Here is a 22,159-nt window from a genome sequence, read left to right on the forward strand (position 1 = left end):
GAGTGACTCAGCAAGCCTGGGTCTTGGGGAAATTACGAATACCTGGTTGAAGGGCAGTCCTCAGGCAGAGCCCCTGAGACCCGTTGAACTCTAGAGTGTGGGAGCAGAGGAGATTCAGGGCCTGCCCAGGGGCAGAGTGCCCCCAGGACTCGCCCTGGCTCAGTTAAGGACTCCCCTCAGGATCTGCAGAGGTGCAAGGCAGGGTGCAGCTCTGCCTGGACTGAGCTGGAAATGCAGCCGTGTGGCTGAAGTGGCCACTTCCTGCTTTCTGTAAAGCAGCCACGGGGACCTGTGAACAGGTAAGACCCTTACTCTTGATTACTGAAGAACTAGAACCCAGGCTCCCTTGACCTTCTCTCCAAAAACCCAGATGACACGAGGACCCTCTCCCAGCTGAAGGGGCAGATTCATGCTTTAGAGTGTGGGGAGTCAGCGTGGGGGCACGTGAGTGTTTAGCTTAGGTGTGGGCCTCACAAAAGAGTCAAAACAAGCCAGCCAGGACTCCAGCAGCCTTCATTGTGTGAGAGATGCCAGCACTGTGGCCACAGCCTGACAGCTGCGCAGGCCACATAATGTGTGGGGCCGAGTGGAAAACGTGGGTTTTTTTTTGTTGTTGTTGTTCAAAATCATGAGCTTCCAGGGGCGGCAGCAGAGCTTTAAACTACTCTGGGGCCCTTCTGAGCACAGGACTTGGTATGACTGCACAGGGATACCTGGCAGGCCAGGTGCAGGGACAGAGCGGTCTGCCCAGAGGCCAGCAGGTCCCCAGTCAGTGTCTGGCACCAGCTCCCTTCATGACCTGGGCTGGCTCAGTTCCACGGGACTCCCAAGGCTGGAGGCTTCCCTGGAACATCATCCTCAGGGATTTCCCAACAGGAGCAGCCTCTGGCTTCAGATCTGTCCTTGTTTGACTCATAAATTATCACTCAGACTGAGAAAATTAACACTCAGTGATTCCTGAAAGGGTGCCCAGTGCAATAGATAATTTTCAAAGTGAGTTCATCGGGGGATTTAATAGCCAGGCAATGTCCATTAAAACAGCGACAAACATGGGGAGAAAAGGAATAGTTCCAACTGGAAACTCATGCTGGCTTGACAGTTGTTCTCAGGGAGCAGAACAGAAGTGGGCATTTTCATTCTGGTTACACCATCAGCGATACCTCCACGGAGCCTCTCAGCTGGTTCCTCCTGGGTCTGGGCCACAGGCCTCCCAGTATTGCCGGTCTCGGAAGACATCTGTGGGCAGGTTCTGTAGAGGGAATCTGAGGCTGTGTGGGATGAGCTGCAGGACCCCATGTGGGGAAAGGCAGGAGGCAGCACCAGCTCCTTCACCAGGACCTGAGGGTACTGTGGCTCATCAGGGGCCATCGAGGACATGGAGACCCTGCACAGTGTTTGAGGAGTCCTGCTACATCAGTTTATTCTGGTTTAGGTGGTTGAGGGGAGACTCAGTGAAGTCTTGGGGGTTCAGAGCTACACTGCCAGCCTCTGGGACAGCAGCCCCAGTGTCCCCCGACCCAGGCCTTTCTCCTCCCTGCTGATGAACGCCCACTCTGCTCCCAGATGCACACCTGTCCTGAAGACACCCGGTTCTCATGCTCTTCTCTGCAGCACCTGAATTGGGCATTCCTGGGTAAAGCTGTTTAAGTTACTTTCACTTTTATCCACTTGTTTCCGTTATTTCAACCATGCATGTCCCTTGTGTATGTAGGATAAAGGTGTCTAAGAATAAAGGTCCATGATTTAAAGTTTTTTCCTCTTCTTTCCCTGTCCTGACCACCTGATCATAAACTTGTAGAAATAAAGTGGATCTCATGTTGTGTATCTTTCGATGCATCTAGAGAGATGGTTATATTCATATAAATAAACGGGCACATCCAGCACACTATTTCTAGTTGTCGTCTGCTAATAAGTTTACATCTGGTAAATGCCAGTGTTTCATCAAATGGCTGCATTGCACATGAGTCAATCTGTGTGACAAAGAATATGGCAGGTTTTGTACAGCCTTTGTAAAGACGTTCTTCAATGCTGCCTTTTAAAATAGAAATGTTAAATCCTGTAACTAATCAACCTATGCCTTGTTAGAGGGCTGACATTTTCAATAATTCCTTTACAAAGGGTAGTGAGATGCATCAGATCCCCCAGTGGCCCCCAAGTAGGGACAGTGACAGTCAGCAGTTCTTTACGGACACCTGCTCCGTGGCAGGTTCTCCGCCGGCTCTGGCTGCGGGCGGCCCTCATCTAACAAGATGCTTCGGTCCATGGGTGGAGGACAAAGGCCTACGGGCTTGGGGAGCGAGTTCTTTCGTCTCCTACATGACCTTCATCTGCTCGCGTTTGCCATGAAGCGCATCTGGGTTGGAAGGAGATGGTGGTTTCCCACGGAAGTCTGGTCCCTAAGTGACGCCTCTGCTGCCTACATCAGAATCTCCCAGGCTTGCTCCACAGTGGTCCCGTCATGTGGTGCAGACTCAGGCGCTGTCTTGTGTGTGCAGAGGCAGGCTTGGTCTTGTGTGCTCTTGATCATGCACCTAGTCACATCTGTTCTACAGTGTTGCATTCTTCTAATTTCCATGCACATCTTTGCATAGGCGTGTTCCCATTGTTCCCATGCCAATAAGTGGTGTGCAAGGTTCCAGAGTGCGCCAGTATTTCTTTAGTCGGTGTCATGCTGTTGGATATTCAGGTTTTTTAACCTAGTGTAAATAACATTCACATTTCTAAAAACCAGAAGAGTGTTTGTGATTAAGATATCATCTTAGTGGATATTAAATTGCTGCATCTGATTTCATTTCTCTTTCCCAAATAGTCAGTTGTGTGGGCTAGTCTCATTCTGAAACTGCACACTCCCATCCCAGAGGTAGAAAGCGAGATCTCCTGCCTGCATTTCATGGAGCATGTGATTATGGAGGTGTCCAGTCCCAGCAAACAGACCCCACATTCTTTTCCTTCAGTGACTCAGACGCAATATGTGGAGAGTCCCAGACAGTATCGCTCCCTCACGTTCATTAACCTCCAGAGATTAAACGTCACCTGATACACAGAACTGTGGGTTCCCCGTTTGGCTAAGCATCAGGTGCAGCCAGGTTCTTACCTAGGTGCACGTGACAAGGTGCTGCCAGATGCCACCAGCGCGGACAGTCAGTGAGCCCACCTCATCAGAGGGCACATGAGATCCCCAAATGAGAAAGAACTCTAAGGAGCCAAAATCTGCCAAGATGGGTACATTAAAGCTTGCAACTTTGCACGTGAGTGCACCCTCAGACTCAGCCAGTTTATTCTCCTTTGCAGTCCATTCTGAAAAGTCCAGCCAGATGATGGCTAAAGAGTAGAGAATGGAAGGTGGAAGGCGGTTGCTGCTTGCAGAAGAGGCACGCTGGCAGCATTGGCAGGGAGGAGGAGACTGGAAACTGAGTAGCAGATCCGAGAAACCAAAATGCTCAGCAAATGAGGGCAGGTGGCATGGAGCTACTTCCCTGGGTCCAAGAGCCTAATTACGTTATTGTTCCATAAGTTCATGGCCTGCGGTCATCAGGGAAAATAAAACACTGACTAGGGGTCGGTCTTTTCTGTTTAGAGGAGGCTCCCTGAAACCTCCCCCTCCCGGGTTCAAGCGATTCTCCTGCCTTAGCCTCCCGAGTAGCTGGAACTATAGGCGCCCGCCACCACTCCCGGCTAATTTTTTTTTGTTTTTTTGTTTTTTGTAGAGACGGGGTTTCACCGTGTTAGCCAGGATGGTCTCGATCTCCTGACCTCGCGATCCGCCCGCCTCGGCCTCCCAAAGTGCTGGGATTACAGGCGTGAGCCACCGCGCCCGGCCTCAGCAGGTTTTTCAAAAGTCATGGCGTGTAATTGTCCGAACAGTGAACTTCGGAGATCCACCGGAGGGGCGAGGCCACAGCTCGACCGCGAGCACCTGAGCATCCTGCACCGCCTGCGACGGCCGTCAGGGGGCGCGATGCCGCCTCACAGAACCTCAAGCGGCGCCCGGGTTCCGGCACAGACGGCCTGCGGCTCCAGGGGGCGGAGCCGAGCCGTCTCCTCAGGACCTACGCAGGAGGCGCCGTCATCCCTACAGGGACACCTGAGAGGGCCCAGCCTCCTCCTCCTCAGGACCCACTCGGGAGACGCCGCTGGCTCTCTAGGAACACCTGGGGACCGTGGCCAGGGACGACCCAGCCTCCTTCTCCTCAGCTCCTCAGGAACGACTGGGGAAGCTGTGGCTTCATGGTCCCCGAGGCTGCCCGAGGAAAGGTGAGGAAAAAGCTTTCTGTCCCGGCTCAGTGCTGAGGAGGCCGCGCTGCCTCGCGCTCCACTTTCTCAAGTTGTATTTATTTTATTTTACAAAGTGGCCCATCATTAAGTGGCTTTGTTATTCATTATTACAGCATACCTGAGTTGTTTCATTTTTTAATTTTTGACCAATTTGGGTTTGTTTGGGGTGGATCCGGGACAGAGAAGGGAGAAACCCTGAGGGCAACATGGAGAGCCCCAGGGAGACGCGCACCCCACGACTTGCTTTTATTTGCGTTCCAGTGGCTCGTTTTTCTTAGAGTGTTAAAGTACTTGAAAAATATTGAAGAGCAGATGTAGATGTGAGTTTTCACAACCGTATTTTAAGTGTAAATACTGGACTTTGTTAAAAGGATTTGAGGTAAAATAAATTTAAGCGGAGTTTATTTCAGCAAAGGAATGGTTCATGAATCACGCGGGAAGCACCAGAACGGAAATCGGCTTGGGGCTTCGAGCTCTTAGGGTGGCCCCTAAGTGAGGCTCCTCAGTGGCTCCAGCTAGGCCACCGCCTGTTGTGGGGATGGTTCCCTCAGCGGCCCTAGTCATACAGCCAACTGGCTGCTGGGCTTTTTGGCATTGACTGTGGTTGGTTTGTTAATTTTTTTAAGTCAGTTCAAATGCCTCCAAGTTCGGTTTCTGTTTGCTTAGGGAAGGCCTCAGGCTAACCCCCGCCGTATTTGCTTTAACATGTCAAAACCATAATTTATTTTTCATTTTACTTTCCTGGCATTAATAGAAGTAAATTCACATTTGTGTGTTATTCAGAAAGTCGGTTTAATTGGCAACCTATTTGTGATGGTGCATAAAGTAATGTCTTTTAATCATTGGCATCTTAGATTAGATGAAATATGTTAACTCTCTTAAGCTTTGTTATTAACCCATAACAAGAGTTAAGTTTCTTTTTTTCTCCTAGGCTTTGACCATTTAAAATACACTCAGGCATCTCGTAACGATGTTATACTTTCTGAGAAATCTGTCCTTAGGTGATTTCATCTTTGTGTGAACACTGTAGAGTGTCCTTATAAAACTTAGATGGTGTAGCCCACTCCACACCTAAGTTACATAGTATAGCCTATTGCTCCCAGGCTACGAACCTGTACAGCATGTCTCTGTACTGAATGCTGTAGTCAACCATAACACCATGGTGATTGTAGATTGTGATCCCAGAATATCTGAGACAGGTCTCAGTCAATTTAGAAAGCTTATTTTGCCAAGATTAAGGACACGCCCATGACACAGCCTCAGGAGGTCCTGACGACGTGTGTCCAAGGTGGCCAGGGTAGAGCTTGCTTTTGTACATTTTAGGGATACATGAGACGTGTAAGATGTACAGTCATTTGGCCCAGTAAGGCGGGACAACTGGAAGCAGGAAGTGGGGGTGCTTCCAGGTCAGAAGTAGGTTAGAGACAAAAGGTTGCATTCTTTTGAATCCTTCATCAGCCTTCCACTGAATACACAATTTAGTCTGGCTCAATGAATCTGCATTTTTACATAAATAATAGGGCAGAGGAAGCAATCAGATATGCATCTGTCTCAGGTGAGGGATGACTTTGAGTGCTGTCTGTCCTTTGTCCAAAAGGAAATTCTTTGTGGGCAAATTGTGAGTGAGGTATGTAGCTTTTTATCTTTGTAGCTATCTTAGGAATAGAATGAGGGCAGGTTTGCCTGACATAGCTCCCAGCTTGACTTTTCCCTTGGCTTAGTGATTTGGGGGTCCTGAGATTTATTTTCCTTTCATGGTATCAGAACAGAGAAAAGGTAATGCGTTGAGCCATGAGCTTATGACAAGATGGCTAGGAAGGAATTTTTCAGCTCCATTTTTATCTCATGGGACCACCATCGTATGTATGCAATGCACGAGTGTAAAATCACATTTAGTTAAGTCAGCTTACACTAAGCTATGGACCCAGATGGTCCTGGGGCCTTTTTCCACTGGGAGATCTTTAAGGACCTTTCTTAGCTTTTCTATGCTAATTGGTATATTCATAGTTGCCTTATTTCAGTGCCCATTTTGTTAATGTGTATTTTTACTAGGAAATCACCCATTTTTTCTAGGTTTCCAGTTTGATGCAATTATTTGACTTTTAATTTCTCCTCTGTTTTTAGTTTTGTACATAATTTTCCTATCTACTTTTGCACTCTTTTTTCCATCAACAATGTTTTTAAAATATACTTTTTAGCTTTTTTTGAAGAATTGTTATGTTTGACAATTTTTTATGACCTAATCATGACCGTAAATGATTTTTAATTAATTTCAGCTTAATGTCTTTTGTAGGGCACAACTGTTAAAATACAAAATTACAACAAATGTGGGTTTGCAGATCTTAATTGGCTTTTTTTGTGGTTCTAGAATCAGGCAGCAGTCCAGACCAAAAATGGTTCAGAATGATCTGCCACACAACATGTGCGGGTTATATTTATAGCCAGAGAAAAAAAGTGACATACAGAAGACAGAAGTGAGGTATAGAGGTGGCTGGATTGGTTACAGACCTGGTTACAGCCCGGATTTGCCTTCTTGGAACTTGTTTTGAACAGCTGGCTGCCGGCCATTGACTGACACTCGGCTGATGTGATTGGCTGAACCGCCGCTATTTGTTACCATGATACATTCCCAAGTCAGATTTACAGTTTGTTTCTATACTAAATTAGGTTGCGATTCTTCTTGTTCTTCTTCTTTTTTCTTTTTTGAGGCGGAGTCTCGCTCTGTCGCCCAGGCTGGAGTGCAGTGGCGCGATCTCAGCTCACAGCAAGCTCCGCCTCCCGGGTTCATGTCATTCTCCTGTCCCGGCCTCCCGAGTAGCTGGGACTGCAGGCTGCCGCCACCAAGTCCGGCTAATTTTTTTGTATTTTTTTTTAGTAGAGACTGGGTTTCACCTTGTAAGCCATGATGGTCTCGATTTCCTGACCTCATGATCCACCCGTCTCGGCCTCCCAAAGTGCCGGGATTACAGGCGTGAGCCACGGCGCCCGGCCGCGACTCTTTACAAGGACTCCTTGGGAGGCTTCTAGAGCCCAAATGTTGTTTGATGTAAGAATTCCTCCCTTTTGGTCAGCCTCTCAATTTTGAGATATTGATCAAAACTTTGGGCATTGGTGTCACTCTTTGTTATCGTTGTAAATTGAGTTATTAGGACTTATTTGCTTTCAGTGTGGCATTTTCAAGTTTTATTTGGTCTCAGTGCCCTCTGGGCAATAGCAGAACACTGTGTTGTGTAAGGCGGAAATAGAGCAATAGAAAATAACAACTGATTTGTTAATAACAGATTACTTCAAGTTACTTGTTTTGGTAAGAATTAAAGCAGAGGGGACTTCTTTATGCTGACTCAGGTAGACTGGAATCTCTTCAGGGAAAAAGGGAGCTCTTTTGGGATCTATCTACTTCCTTAAAGTTTCAGCTTCGTTGTGTGTCATTCAGCGTGAGTGTCTCCATTCTGGTTTTGCCTGCTCAGTGTGGCCTAATGCGGGAGTGGTGACCGAAACAATGACCTCCCGTAGTTTGTTCCACAGTTCTCCCCTTTTGGTTGGGTTCCTGCCTAGGTGAGGGTGTGACTAAAACCTTAGGGCATTAGCAGTATTCTCAGTAACTATCATTTTAGGGTTCCGGTCTTAGGGCATTAGCACTATTCTCAGTAACTATCATTTTAGGTTTCCGGTCTTAGGGCATTAGCACTATTCTCAGTAACTATCATTTTAGGTTTCCGGTCTTAGGGCATTAGCACTATCCTCAGTAACTATCATTTTAGGGTTCCGGTCTCAACACGTCATTTAAGAAGTCAGTAAAGCTTTCTTCTATTGTGACAGCATATTTAATACTGAGAAGGAAAAGAAAATTTTTATCTTGCGAATGTGAGCTTCCTCTAAATTATCAGGTCCAGAGAGGCGTGGGAATGAGGCAGCAGTCACGTCCCATTTCCCGCTTAGCTAAGTAATCATATCTTGAAGCTGCTTGCTATGTAGACTAGACTGACTGTCATCAGCTATAGATTAACCTAAGAGTGTCTTTGAATATTTTTTCCAGTGGCAAATATTTGCTTCTGTTGTATCGTAGCTGAAAGGAATGCTGGGAAACAAAATAAAGGCAAGCATTCATTAGAATAAGTGATCCAGTCACAATGAATCAATTTGAACTTTTTTTTTTTTCGCAAAGTCATACTTTGAAAACGTCCAGCCGTAAATTGAAATAGTCTCCAAAATGTGAATTTTTTTCCCTGGTTCTAAGATGACCAGCTTTCTTAGAGAGTGAACTACACCATAAGGAAAATGATATGACCATGTTTACACATATATGTTATCTTAACATAAAACATGTAAAAGGGGCATTTCTTTGAAAGTATATATTAGTCTGTATAATTTACTTTGCAGTATCATGAATGCTCTTATTTTTAAAAGTAGTAGTAGTTACTGTCAATTACTAATTTTTAGTACAAATAATTTAGCAGATATCTGAAAAAATTACAATTTTTAAATAGAGGTTTTATTTTAAATTAGTTTTAGATTCATACAGAAATTGGGAAGAAAATGCAGATTTCCCATGTAGACGCAACCTAGTTTCCCCGCTTTTTAACATACCAACATGTATCAGATAGGTTTAACATCTTTTTTTTTTTTTTTTTTTTTTTTCAGACAGAGTCTCAACCAGGCTGGAGTGCAGTGGCGTGATCTCGGCTCACTGCAACCTCCGCCTCCCAGGTTCAAGCGATTCTCCTGCCTCAGCCTCCTGAGTAGCTGGTATTACAGGCGCCTGCCATCATGCCCGGCTAATTTTTGTATTTTTAGTAGAGATGAGGTTTCACCACGTTGGCCAGGCTGGTCTTGAACTCCTGATCTCAGGTGATCCGCCTGCCTCAGCCTCCCAAAGTGCTGGGATTACAGGCATGAGCCACCACTCCTGACCAACATCTTACATCATTTCTTGTCATACTTAATGACTGGATATTACTATATTATTAAATAAGCTCACATCTTATTTGGTTTCCCTTAGTTCTGCCTTTTTCTCTCCCAGGATCCTATCTAGGATCCCATAGGACATTTAGTCATCATGTCAGGCTCTTCTTGGCTGTGACAATCTCTCAGACTTTACTTCTGAGGACCTGGAACAGTGTTAGGAGGATCGGTCAGGTATTGTGTAGAATGTCCTCCATTGTGGTTTACTTGGGGTTTTTCTCATAATCAGCCTGGGTTTAGGGGTTTGGGGGAAGCAGAGCAGATGTGTAGTGTGTCCACAAAAAGAGTCAAAGACTGTAAAATATTTTAAGAGATGTATTCTGAGCCAAATATGAGTGACCATGGCCCTTGACACAGCCCTCAGGAGACCCTGAGAACATGTGCCCAAGGTCGTTGGGGTGCAGGTTGGTTCTATACATTTTAGGGAGATAGGAGACATCAATCAAGTGTATTTAAGATATATATTGGTTCGGTCCAGGAAGGTGGGACAACCCAATGGATTAGGGTGGGGGGGGGGCTTCCAGGTTATAGGTACATTTAAAATTTTTCTGATTGGCAGTTTGTTGAAAGACTTACTATCAATAGAAAGGAGTGTCTGGGTTATGTTAAGGGGTTATGGAGACCAAGGTTTTATCATGGAAATGAAGCTTCCAGGTAGCAGGCTTCAGAGAGAATAGATTGTAAATGTTTCTTATCAGATTTAAGGTTGTGTTGATGTTAAATGCTGATTGGCTTTTCCTGAATTCCAAAAGGGAGGAGGGCATAATGAGGCGTGTCTGACCACCTCTTTCCCATCATAGCCTGAACCAGTCTTCCAGGTTAACTTTGGTGTCCCCTGGTGGAGAGGTGGTTGGGGGAAAGATCTTTGAATTTTATTTTTGGTTTGCAAGTGCTAGTCTAGTCACTTCACGCTCTCAAGATGTGTTATCACCATTAATGTTAACTTTTATCACTTGGTTGAGGCAGTGTTTTCAGGTTTTTCACTGTGAAGTTACTTTTTTCCCATGTCTATATTGTATGTATGCTTTTGGAGGAAGTCATCATGCAGAGCTCATACTTAAAGGAGTGGGGAGTTAGCCCCACCTCCTTGATGGCTGTCTGTATCAGGTATTTGGAATTCTTCTGTATAAGAGATTTCTATTCAGCCCATTTGCATATCTGTTTAATCATTTATTTATACCAGTATGGGTCCACAGATAGTTACTTTAATCTTTTGGTTGTTATCTAATTGTACAGTATTTTGTTGCTCTTTGTTCATACCTGTGGCCATTGGTAGCTCTTTCCACTGGCTTCTTTTACATAATTTCATGTTTTTTTTTTATAATTTATTTCTGTTACTTCAAAAGTACCCTGGCTCATATATTTTCTGTCCCAGTCCTAGTTTCAGCTATTTCTTCTAATAGCCCTGATTTCTTTTGTTAGAGAATGGTATGAAAAACTTACATCTGGCCACTAAATGTGGTCATTGCATCATGACACTTACAGCTGACAGTGCAAAGAAATATATGTGTGTCTTCTAACTTATATGTACCCACTTAATTATAAAGGTTTCTATGTGGAACCATCTATGTATATGTTAAGCTAAATGTGAGTTTATACTTACGTTGTATATATATATTCTGACTCATGATGACAGAGACCACTCTAGGCTTCCCTATTTTTTATCTGTAACTTCTCACTGTAATAGTGAGGAACCTGGCTCCTACCATCTGCCGTATACATTCTGACTCCTGATGACAGAGACCACTCTAGGCTTCCCTGTTTTTTATCTGTAACTTCTCGCTGTAATAGTGAGGAACCTGGCTCCTACCATCTGCCGTATACATTCTGACTCCTGATGACAGAGACCACTCTAGGCTTCCCTGTTTTTTATCTGTAACTTCTCGCTGTAATAGTGAGGAACCTGGCTCCTACCATCTGCCGTATACATTCTGACTCCTGATGACAGAGACCACTCTAGGCTTCCCTGTTTTTTATCTGTAACTTCTCGCTGTAATAGTGAGGAACCTGGCTCCTACCATCTGCCGTATACATTCTGACTCATGATGACAGAGACCACTCTAGGCTTCCCTGTTTTTTATCTGTGACTTCTCACTGTAATAGTGAGGAACCTGGCTCCTACTATCTGCCATTCATTTCATCCCTTGTACCACTGGGAACAAGGAATTCATTCTTGATCAAGATTCCAGGTTGGGACTTAATAAGAAATATATGTTTGGTCTGTGTCTGCAGTTCCTGGTACAGAGCTTCTAAAACTATTATAATTTCCTGAACAGTAGGGGTGCTAGGAGCATCTTGTGTTCTAATATTTGGTCTTTGGCCCTGGTTCCTGACGCAGAGTTCCTAAATCTCTTGGAATCTCCTGGATAATAGGAATGGCTTCTGTTCTAATAAGGACACTCTGTGGGTTCCTGGGTGGTTTCAGGATGGGGATGGTCACCAGAAAGACCAAGCCATGATAAGAAGGTTGTAACTTTTAGCTTAACATGCAATCCTTTGAGGGTGTGAAGGGACTGGAAATTGAGTTAATAATCCGTCATGTCTACATGATGAAGCTTCCATAAAAATTCCTAAAATATGGAATTTGGAAAGTTCCAGATCAAGGCTGACAGATTTGATGTCTAGTGAGGGCTCATCTATCATAGATAGTGCCTTCTAGCATGTCGTGACATGGCAGAATGGGGAAACGGGCTCCTAGATGCTTTTATAAGGGCACTGGTTTCATTCATGAGGACAGCACTCTCATGATCCGATCACCTCTCGGTTACCTCTGAATACCATCCCTTTGGGGATTACATTTCAAAATAGGAATTTGGGGTGGGGGTGTACACACATTGAGACCATAATAACTAGTAAACATAAGTAAGTATTTCCTAGTTCCATAAGCCATCATAGCAAATTGTCAAACCTGAAGAGGGGGTGTAGGAATGCCTAGTTTCTAGCCAAGTCATATAGAAGTTTGGGTAAACTGGGGATTCACTACTTGTGATTGGCATCTGAGGTTGTGGACAGTCTGGTGTTACTAAGCCCTTAACCTGTAGGGTGTATACTAACTCCAGGTAATCAGTGTCACAGTTGAATTACAGGATACCCAATTGTTTTCCAGAGAGTTGGAATATTGGTTGGTATGGGAAACACCCCCCACCCCCCACAATTTGCTGTTAAAAGTGGAGTGTTGATAGTATAGAGGAAAATCATGGTTATTTTTCTTTTTACAGATATAGTAGTTTCAAAATTAACTATTATCCCTATGGGAAATAACTTTATAAAATAGAGTCCACTGTTCGTGTATATAGTACGTTTTGTTTTTAGTCTATGGATTCTACTCATTTCCAGCTCAGCACCTTTGGCCCACCACTTGCAACATACATTGGTAATACAGTTAGATTCTTGGTTGCACTCTGTATTTTGTCCTTAGATACTTCCACATCCTAAATAATTTAATTTGTGTAGGTTGTGATTTGTTCTTTGTGCATTAAAATTCTGTGGGTTTTATCAAATGCATAGTGTCAGATATCCACTACTGAAGTAGCATACAGAATACTTCAAATCCCCACCCCAGACAGTCACTGATCTGACTATCATCTCTTTGGTTGTGCTTTTTCCAGAATGTTATATGAATGGAGTCATATAATGTATAGCATCTTCATACTGCCACCCTTTACTTAGCAACATAGATGCAAGATTCATTCATTTGTTTTCATGGATTGACAGTTCATTCCTTTCTGTTGGTGAATGGTATTCCATTGCATGGTTGTACTTCAAATTGATTATGCATTCAGCTATTGAAGAACGTTCTGATTACTTCAAGTTTTGGCCATTATGAGTAGAGTGGCTCGTATATAATTACATGCTAGTTTTTGTTTGAACATAATTTTTCAAAGCAGCTGTCTAAACATACACAATTTAGGGGTGCATTTGTTGGATTGTAAGGTAAGACTTGTTTATCTTTGGGAAAAACTGTCAAACTATTTCCCAAAGTGGCTGTACCCATTCATGCATTCTGCCAGTAATGAATGGCCGTACCTATTGTTCTTCAACCTCCAATTTTTACTGTTGAGCTTTTTTAAGAGTCCCACAGTTGTACTAGGTGTGCAGTGATATCTCAGCATTATTTTAATTTGCAGTCTCCTAATGAGATATATTGAGCATCCTTTTGTGTGATTATGTGCTATCTGTATATTTTCTTTTTTTTCTTTTTTCTTTTTTTTTTATTGAGATAGAGTCTCGTTCTGTCACTCAGGCTGGAGTGCAGTGGCGTGATCTTGGGTCACTGCAACCTCTACCTCCAATGTTCAAGCAATTCTCTTGCATCAGCCTCCCAAGTAGCTGGGATTACAGGCACCCACCACCATGCCTGGCTAATTTTTTTGTATTTTTAGTAGAGAGGGGGTATCACTATGTTGGCCAGGCTGATCTCAAATTCCTGACCTCAGGTGACTCACCCGCCTCAGCCTCCCAAAGTGCTGGGGTTATAGGCATGAGCCACCACACCTGGCCTGCTATCTATATATTTTATTTGGCTGGATGTCTGTTCAGATATTTACCCAGTTTTATTTGGGTTTTTAGTTTTCTTAGTGTTCGTTTGAAGAGTTCTTTGTGTATTTTCAATACAGTTTTTAAAATCACGTTTGTATTTTGTAAATATCTTCTGACAGTGTGTCTTGTCTTTTTGTTCTCTGAATAGGGTTTTTCATAGTAGAAAATTTAGTTTTATAAAGTCTGTTCTCAGTATTTTCACGAATTGGCACTTGATGCTGTGTGTAAAAACTCAACACCAGATCCAATGTCTCTTAGGTTTTCTTTTAGGTTATTTATAGTTTTGCAATTGAAGTTGTAGTCTCTGGAGTATTTTGAGTAGGTTTTTGTGTTTTAATTTGTGTATAGAGTCATTTCATTCTATATGGCTTCCAAATAATTCTTCCATCACCATTTATGGGAAGGGTATGGATATACTGGCCTTTATTTCGGTTTGAATTTCCAAAATTATGACACTGAATAAACTGAATATTGAATTTTATAGGTATTTCAGGACAGCCAGGAGGGGGCGCACATCCGCCGAGAAACTGTGAGCAAGAGCGTCTGTGCTGAACCATGGCGCCACCAGAGGGCGCGCGATCCCGCCCCAACCAACTTCCCGCTGAGGTGCCAGAAGCAGCGAGGAGCTTCAGCTTCCTCAGGGCAGCACGAGGGTCGTGTTAACTTGGTGTTCTTCATTGGTGAGTAAAAAGCTCCTGTCCACGGCCCTGAGTGCCAAGGAGTGAGTCTTTAGAGTACTCAGCAGAGGAAGAAATTCATCTAGAAAAATAAAACCCCCAAATCTCACTGTTTGGAGTACACCCTAATATCATTGTCAACGTCCAAGACACAGTGGCTGTTAATATATATTCTTACAGTGGCCTCTAATATAATAATCACACTGTGCCCTACATTACTATGATATCCACACCGTGTCCTAACACCTATATAATATTCACACCATGCCCTAACACTGATGTAATCCACACCATCGCTTCCAAAACTAATGTAATAATATCCACACCATGCCCTAACACTGATGTAATCCACACCATCGCTTCCAATACTAATGTAATAATATCCACACCATGCCCTAACACTGATGTAATCCACACCATCGCTTCCAATATTAATGTAATAATATCCACACTGTGCCCTAACACCCATATAATATTCGCACCATGCCCTATCAATGATCTAGTCCACACCATCGCTTCCAATACTAATGTAATAATATCCACACCATGCCCTATCACTGATCTAGTCCACACCATCACTTCCAATACTAATGTAATAATATCCACAGCATGCCCTATCACTGATCTAGTCCACACCATCGCTTCCAATACTAATGTAATAATATCCACAGCATGCCCTATCACTGATCTAGTCCACACCATCGCTTCCAATACTAATGTAATAATATCCACAGCATGCCCTATCACTGATCTAATCCACACCATCGCTTCCAATACTAATGTAATAATATCCACAGCATGCCCTATCACTGATCTAGTCCACACCATCGCTTCCAATACTAATGTAATAATATCCACACCATGCCCTATCACTGATCTAATCCACACCATCGCTTCCAATACTAATGTAATAATATCCACACCATGCCCTAACACTGATGTACTCCACACCATCGCTTCCAATACTAATGTAATAATATCCACACCATGCCCTATCACTGATCTAGTCCACACCATCGCTTCCAATAGTAATGTAGTAATATCCACACCATGCCCTATCACTGATCTAGTCCACACCATCGCTTCCAATACTAATGTAATAATATCCACACCATGCCCTAACACTGATCTAGTCCACACCATCGCTTCCAATACTAATGTAGTAATATCCACACCATGCCCTATCACTGATCTAGTCCACACCATCACTTCCAATACTAATGTGATAATATCCACACCATGCCCTATCAGTGATCTAATCCACACCATGGCTTCCAATACTAATGTAGTAATATCCACACCATGCCCTATCACTGATCTAGTCCACACCATCGCTTCCAATACTAATGTAGTAATATCCACACCATGCCCGATCACAGATCTAGTCCACACCATCGCTTCCAATACTAATGTAATAATATCCACACCATGCCCTATCACTGATCTAGTCCACACCATCGCTTCCAATACTAATGTAATAATATCCACACCATGCCCTATCACTGATCTAATCCACACCATCGCTTCTAATACTAATGTAATAATATCCACACCATGCCCTAACACTAATGTAATATCTGCACCATTCCCCAACACCGATACAATATCCACACCATTCCCTAACACTAATCTAAATATCCATAGCATGCCCTAACAGTAATATATTGACACAGTGGCCTCTAATACCAATAAATATAATCATATCTACTAAGTGGACTCTGTTGACATTGAGACTTTTTTAAGGGTTTTACAGCTTTGGCTGAACTATAGCCTCTGTAATGGATTTTAATGATGTGTCTGCTTTCCTGGCATGGTATTGACATGGTTGTTTTAAAAAGTAACTTATTTTCCAATAATGTCATATTTCTAGGCAACTTCCAGTAGTAGTACAAAGTACAACTTGTTTCTTCCCTTAGGTTCCCCAACAGTTATTGCTGTACCAGATTTGCAGTGTCCCACAAAATACTCCGGTATGTTGTACTGAAAGCATGGACACTCTCCCAGGTAACTACCACATAACCCCTAGATCAGGAAATCAGCATTGTTCCTCCATGATAATTCGGTCCACAAACTCACTTCACTTTTACCTCATGCCACACTTGGGAGTATAATGTGTATTTTTTTTTTTTTCATTAGGATCCAGTTTTCTTTTCCTGGAACTGTTCCCCAGACTTTCCTGCGTATTTATGACCTTGACACATTTAAAGAGCATACAGGTTTTTGTTTGAACAGTTGTTTTCAGGTCTTTGGGGTATATACCTAGGAATGGAATTATTGACTCATATGGTAAATATATTTGTAACTTTATGAGGAAACATCAAATTATTTCACACGTAGGCTGCACCATTTCATATTGTCACAAGCAGTGTTTAAGAGTTCAAGTTTCTGCACATCTTTGTCAACACTTGTTAGTTTTTAGTATAACTATTCTTGTGTGAGTTAAGGGTTATCTCTTTATGGTTTTAATTATGGTAATGATGCTAAGCATCTTTTCATGTGCTTGTTGGTGAAGTGTGTATTAAAGTCTTTTGTCAATTTTTAGATTGGGTTGTCTTTGCTATGGAGTTGTAAAAGTTCTTTATACATTCTGGATAACAGACACTGATGAAGTATCTAATGTGCAGACATTTTCTTCCATTTTATAGGTTGTTGGAACGTAATAAGAGTTAATGTGTGGTCTCTGCTGCAGTGTCCTGAAACAGAGCGCTAAGCCTTGGGAATGTACGAAGTAATGTGTCTTTCGTATGCTAATGAAATGATTGATGGCTGGGGGCACCTGGACAGCCTCAGTGGGTCTGGCTGCCAAGGGAAGCAACCTTGTCATGAGAGGATTTGAAATTTCTTCCCCCGTCCCGTCTCTGTGAAGGGGAGAGGTGCTGATGGTTGAGTTGATCACCTATGGCCACAGACGTAACCAATCTGCCTGTGTAATAAAGGACAGGGTTGGGAGAGCATCTGTGTTGCTCTCCCAACACAGGAGATACTGGGAGGATCATATCTGGCGAGGGCATGGGAGGCCTGCATTCCTTCCATATACCTCACCTTGTGCATCTCTTCATCTGGCTTTTCATTTGTAGCATTTAAAAGATCCTTGGTAATGAGTCAGGAATAGTAAGTACACTGCTTTCATGGGTTGTGTAATGTTATGTAGCAAATTGCTGAACCCAATAAGGGTATTGTGGGAGCCTCCAATCTGTAGCAAAGTCAGACAGAAGGTAACCTGGGAACCTACTGTTTGTGGTTGGCATCTTAAGTGGTTACAGTCTTGTAACTGAGTACCCATATTTTCTTAAAGAAGAAATGAATTAGTTTTACCATTTTGCTGTTCCTGCATTTAGCTCTTTAGGAATGCAATTATAAGCTTTACTGTCTCTCCACCAGACACTTCCTATACTGCAAACTTTTCCAACTGTGTGATTACTTGTAAGTTCCAGGGACCAAACCTTGAAACAAACTGGCACTTCCCTATCTCTCCCCCACCAGGAGATTGGCAGCAGACAACAGTCAATTTACAACCTGGCTCTGCCCGTGGTGGTGCTAGCAAGACCACCTAATGGAGAAAACATCAGAGCATGTCCCATAGACCCCGCACCTCCTCACCTCATCCCCTGCATGCCATTCTGGCAAGTCCGAAGCCCCGCTTTCTGCCCAGAAAGTGGAAGCGCTTCCCTTAAGGCAAGAGCCTGTATGTTCCCTTCAGCTAAGCTCTGGCATAAAGTCACTTTCTTTTTACCATCCTTGTGTTTGTCATTTAAATTTGCAAGCAACAAGGGGCATGACGTGTATTCCTAGGACTGAGCCCTTAGCCTGTGGGGTCTGATGCTTTCTCCATTTACTGTCACAATTGGATTGCACTGTAGGACACCCAGCTGGTACCCAAGATTTGGTCTGTGTGGGGAAAAAACCCATGTATCTGGTAACAGAAGTGTTCTGTGTTGAGTGTTGAGAGTATACTATAAGACAGTTGTTTTTCCTATTATAACATTTTGTCTTTCAACTTTTTTCTTCATGTCTTCTGAGACATAAAAGTTGTGAATTTTGAGGAAATAAATTGATTTATTTTTCCTTTTGTGGTCTGTGCTTTTGGTGTCAGATGTAGGAAACTATTGCTATGTGTAAGGTCATGAATGCTTAACTGTACGTTTTCTTCCAGAGTTTTTAGTTTTCACCTGTTTTGGTCTTTGATCCATTGTAAGTTAATTTTTTATGTGGTATGAGGTAAGGATACAATTTCATTTCCCTTTATGTGGATAGCAAGTTGCCTTACATCACTTGTTGAGGACAGGATTCTTTCCCCAATTTACTGGTAATGGACCTTGTCTAAAATCAGTTGAGCATAGAGGTATTGTTTTCTGTCTGGACTCCCAATTCAATTCAGTTGATCTTTCTGTTTATTCCTGTGCAAGGATCCCACTGTTTTTATTACTGTTCCTTTGTAATAAAATTTGAAATTGGGATGTGATCAGGATCAGCTTATCCACTTCTGTCCCAAGGCCTTTGGGATTTTTGTAGGAATAACATCGAATCCACGGATTGCTTTGTGTACTTTGGGAAACTTAACAATGTGGTCTACAAATCCACAAATAAGATACATTTTTACATTTATTGGAAGTTTAATTTCCTTAAGTAATGTCTTATAATTTCCCTCATCTAAGTCTTGTCGTTTCATTCCATTTATTCCTAAGTATAATATTGCTATTGGTATTATTTAAGGTAGAATTTTCATAATTTGGTTTAGAGATTATTCATTCCTAGCATATACATATAAAATGGAATGTTTGGCCAGGCACCCGGGCTCATACCTGTAACCCAAGCAGGTTGAGAGGCTGAGGAAGGGTTAGGGTTAGGGTTGGGGTTGGGGTTGGGGTTAGGCTTAGGGCTTAGGGCTAGGGCTAGGGCTAGGGCTAGAGTTAGGGTTGGGTTAGGGTTGGGTTAGGGTAGGGTTAGGGTTAGGGGTTAGGGGTTAGGGTTCGGGTTCGGGTTTGGGTTATGGTTAGGGTTCGGGTTTAGGGTTCAGGTTTATGGTTCGGGTTAGGGTTCAGGTTAGGGTTCTGGTTGGGTTTAGTGTTAGGGTTTAGGGTTCGGGTTTGGGTTAGGGGTTAGGGTTAGGGGTGTGGGTGAGGGTGAGGATGAAGGTTAAGGGTTAGGGTTAGGGGTTAGGGTTAGGGTTAGGGTTAGGGGTTAGGGTTAAGGATTAAGGGTTAAGGGTCAGGGTCAGGGGTTTGGGTCAAGGGTTAGGGTTAGGGGTTAAGAGTTAGGGGTTAGGGATTATGGTTTGGGTGAGGGGTGAGGGGTGAGGGTGAGGGTTAGGGTTAGCGTTTTAGGGTTATGGTTAGGGTTAAGGGTTAGGGTTAGGGGTTAGGGGTTAAGGGTTAGGGGTAGGATAAGGGTAGGGTTAGGGTTAGGGTTAGGGTTAGGGTAAGGATTAGGGTTAGGGTTAGGGTTAGGGTTCGGGTTTAGGGTTCAGGTTTATGGTTCGGGTTAGGGTTCAGGTTAGGGTTCTGGTTGGGTTTAGTGTTAGGGTTTAGGGTTAGGGTTAGGGTTAGGGTTGGGTTAGGGTTAGGGTTCGGGTTAGGGTTAGGGTTAGGGTTAGGGTTAGGGTTAGGGTTCGGGTTTAGGGTTCAGGTTTATGGTTCGGGTTAGGGTTCAGGTTAGGTTTCTGGTTGGGTTTAGTGTTAGGGTTTAGGGTTCGGGTTTGGGTTAGGGGTTAGGGGTTAGGGTTAGGGGTGTGGGTGAGGGTGAGGATGAAGGTTAAGGGTTAGGGGTTAGGGTTAGGGTTAGGGTTAAGGGTTAGGGTTAGGGTTAGGGTTAGGGGTTAGGGTTAAGGGTTAAGGGTCAGGGTCAGGGTCAGGGGTTTGGGTCAAGGGTTAGGGTCAAGTGTTAGGGTTAGGGGTTAAGAGTTAAGGCTTAGGGATTATGGTTTGGGTGAGGGGTGAGGGGTGAGGGTGAGGGTTAGGGTTAGGGGTTAGGGTTAGGGTTAGGGTTAGGGTTAGGGATGTGGGTGAGGGTGAGGATGAAGGTTAGGGTTAGGGTTAGGGTTAGGGTTAGGGTTAGGGTTAGGGTTAGGGTTAGGGTTAGGGGTGTGGGTGAGGGTGAGGATGAAGGTTAAGGGTTAGGTTTAGGGGTTAGGGTTAGGGTTAGGGTTAAGGGTTAGGGTTAGGGTTAAGGGTTAAGGGTCAGGGTCAGGGGTTAGGGTTAGGGTTAGGGTTAGGGTTAGGGTTAGGGGTGTGGGTGAGGGTGAGGATGAAGGTTAAGGGTTAGGTTTAGGGGTTAGGGTTAGGGTTAGGGTTAAGGGTTAGGGTTAGGGTTAAGGGTTAAGGGTCAGGGTCAGGGGTTTGGGTCAAGGGTTAGGGTCAAGGGTTAGGGTTAGGGGTTAAGAGTTAGGGGTTAGGGATTATGGTTTGGGTGAGGGGTGAGGGGTGAGGGTGAGGGTTAGGGTTAGCGTTTTAGGGTTATGGTTTGGGTTAAGGGTTAGGGTTAGGGGTTAGGGGTTAAGGGTTAGGGGTAGGATAAGGGTAAGGATTAGGGTTAGGGTCAGGGTAAGGGTAAGGGTAAGGATTAGGGTTAGGATTAGGGTTAGGGTTAGGGTTAGGGTTTTAGGGTTAGGGTGTTAGGGTTAGGGTTAGGGTTAGGATTAGGGTTAGGTTTAGGGTTAGGGTACTGTAAATAATTTCACATTATTACTAATAATAAATTATTATTTGTATTACACTATTACATAATGTAAAGGCTATTAAGACATGTTTGTCTTCAAAGAATGGCGTTGGTTTCTGTGGGCAGTGCCTCCTCATGGAAGGGTAATGCATTCCTGCTAAATCATGGACTAAACGGGCTTCCAGGAGCTACAGGCTGCAGCAGCAGCTTCTCCTCTACGTCCTTCACTGCCTCAAACTGTTGTTGACTTTGAAAGCTTCTTTCAGTCTAGTTTTATCAACAGAGCTAGTATTTCATGAGGTTCTACTACATACCAGGTTCCAGAAAGCTAAATGCCTTTTGTTTGTTATTATTCTCTAAATACAAATCACAACTCCTCATTACTCACACAACAAAATTTAGCTGCGGGAGATTGAGTGACTTTCCCAGGGTCACATAGCTACTAAGAGCAGAGTCGTGTTTAGATTCATGTGGGAATATTGAACACAGAAATGAACCAGTGGAAACATCCTATGTTCCAAAAGCCTACTCAAGCCATTTGTTCTTATTTTAAGGAAAATCTTTATGCTAATTTTAAACTCCAAATACTTACGAATGGCAGAGATCTACAGATTTGATTCTGATGTAAGAAATGATGGTCACCAGCTGGTTACTGCTACCACCCCACAACCCCGAGCATACTGGACGAATGTCTAAGCCTTGTGGTTAGTGGGGACAATGCTGGTGGAGTCTGAAGTTGTCATGCAGTGACTCATGCAAGCTTAGGCAGATTTGGTGATATATGACACAGAGATGCAAAGAAATGTTGTAGCTGACACACACAGGCTGGCTCTGGGAGATGCAGAAGGAGCACGTCACCCAAAATAGAGCCAGACAGACATCCTTAAGGAAGGAGCAAAGGGGCTGCATCTTAAAGAATGTAGAAAGGATTTGTCATGAGAGATGGGGCAGGAAGTTCTTGAGAGGCAGAGGGAGAGCATGAGAATGTTGGGAAGGGAGGAGAGATTCTTGCACATCTGGGAAGCTGACAATCCATCAGCATGGCCAGAAGG

General features: G+C 43.7%; 2 long non-coding RNA genes across 3 annotated transcripts in view, besides 1 other annotated feature; both read left to right on the plus strand.

The window, feature by feature from the left end:
• FAM157A (family with sequence similarity 157 member A) overlaps positions 1–22,159 on the plus strand; it is a 69,308-nt gene that overhangs the window by 210 nt on the left and 46,939 nt on the right. The window contains exons 2-4 of the long non-coding RNA NR_146164.1: positions 2,207–2,357; positions 3,877–4,254; positions 14,261–14,456. This is a non-coding gene — a long non-coding RNA (family with sequence similarity 157 member A). The remainder of the gene's footprint in view (positions 1–2,206; positions 2,358–3,876; positions 4,255–14,260; positions 14,457–22,159) is intronic.
• On the plus strand, positions 2–3,744 carry LOC124905354 (uncharacterized). 2 transcript variants are annotated; one of them, XR_007096244.1, is made up of 3 exons: positions 2–299; positions 1,564–1,633; positions 3,708–3,744. It is a non-coding gene; the product is annotated as an uncharacterized LOC124905354 (long non-coding RNA). The 2 variants fall into 2 exon arrangements; XR_007096245.1 differs by lacking the exon at positions 3,708–3,744 and having other exon boundaries at positions 1,564–1,748.
• Positions 4,941–5,873: an enhancer, noted in NCBI's record as "NANOG-H3K27ac hESC enhancer chr3:197885227-197886159 (GRCh37/hg19 assembly coordinates)". NCBI's record gives its function as "activates a minimal SCP1, AML or CMV promoter by ChIP-STARR-seq in naive H9 embryonic stem cells {active_cell/tissue: H9 hESC(naive)}" and the evidence as "EXISTENCE:reporter gene assay evidence [ECO:0000049][PMID:30033119]".

The sequence above is a fragment of the Homo sapiens genome, chromosome 3, assembly GCF_000001405.40.
Source record: "Homo sapiens chromosome 3, GRCh38.p14 Primary Assembly".
Lineage (NCBI taxonomy): Eukaryota > Metazoa > Chordata > Mammalia > Primates > Hominidae > Homo > Homo sapiens.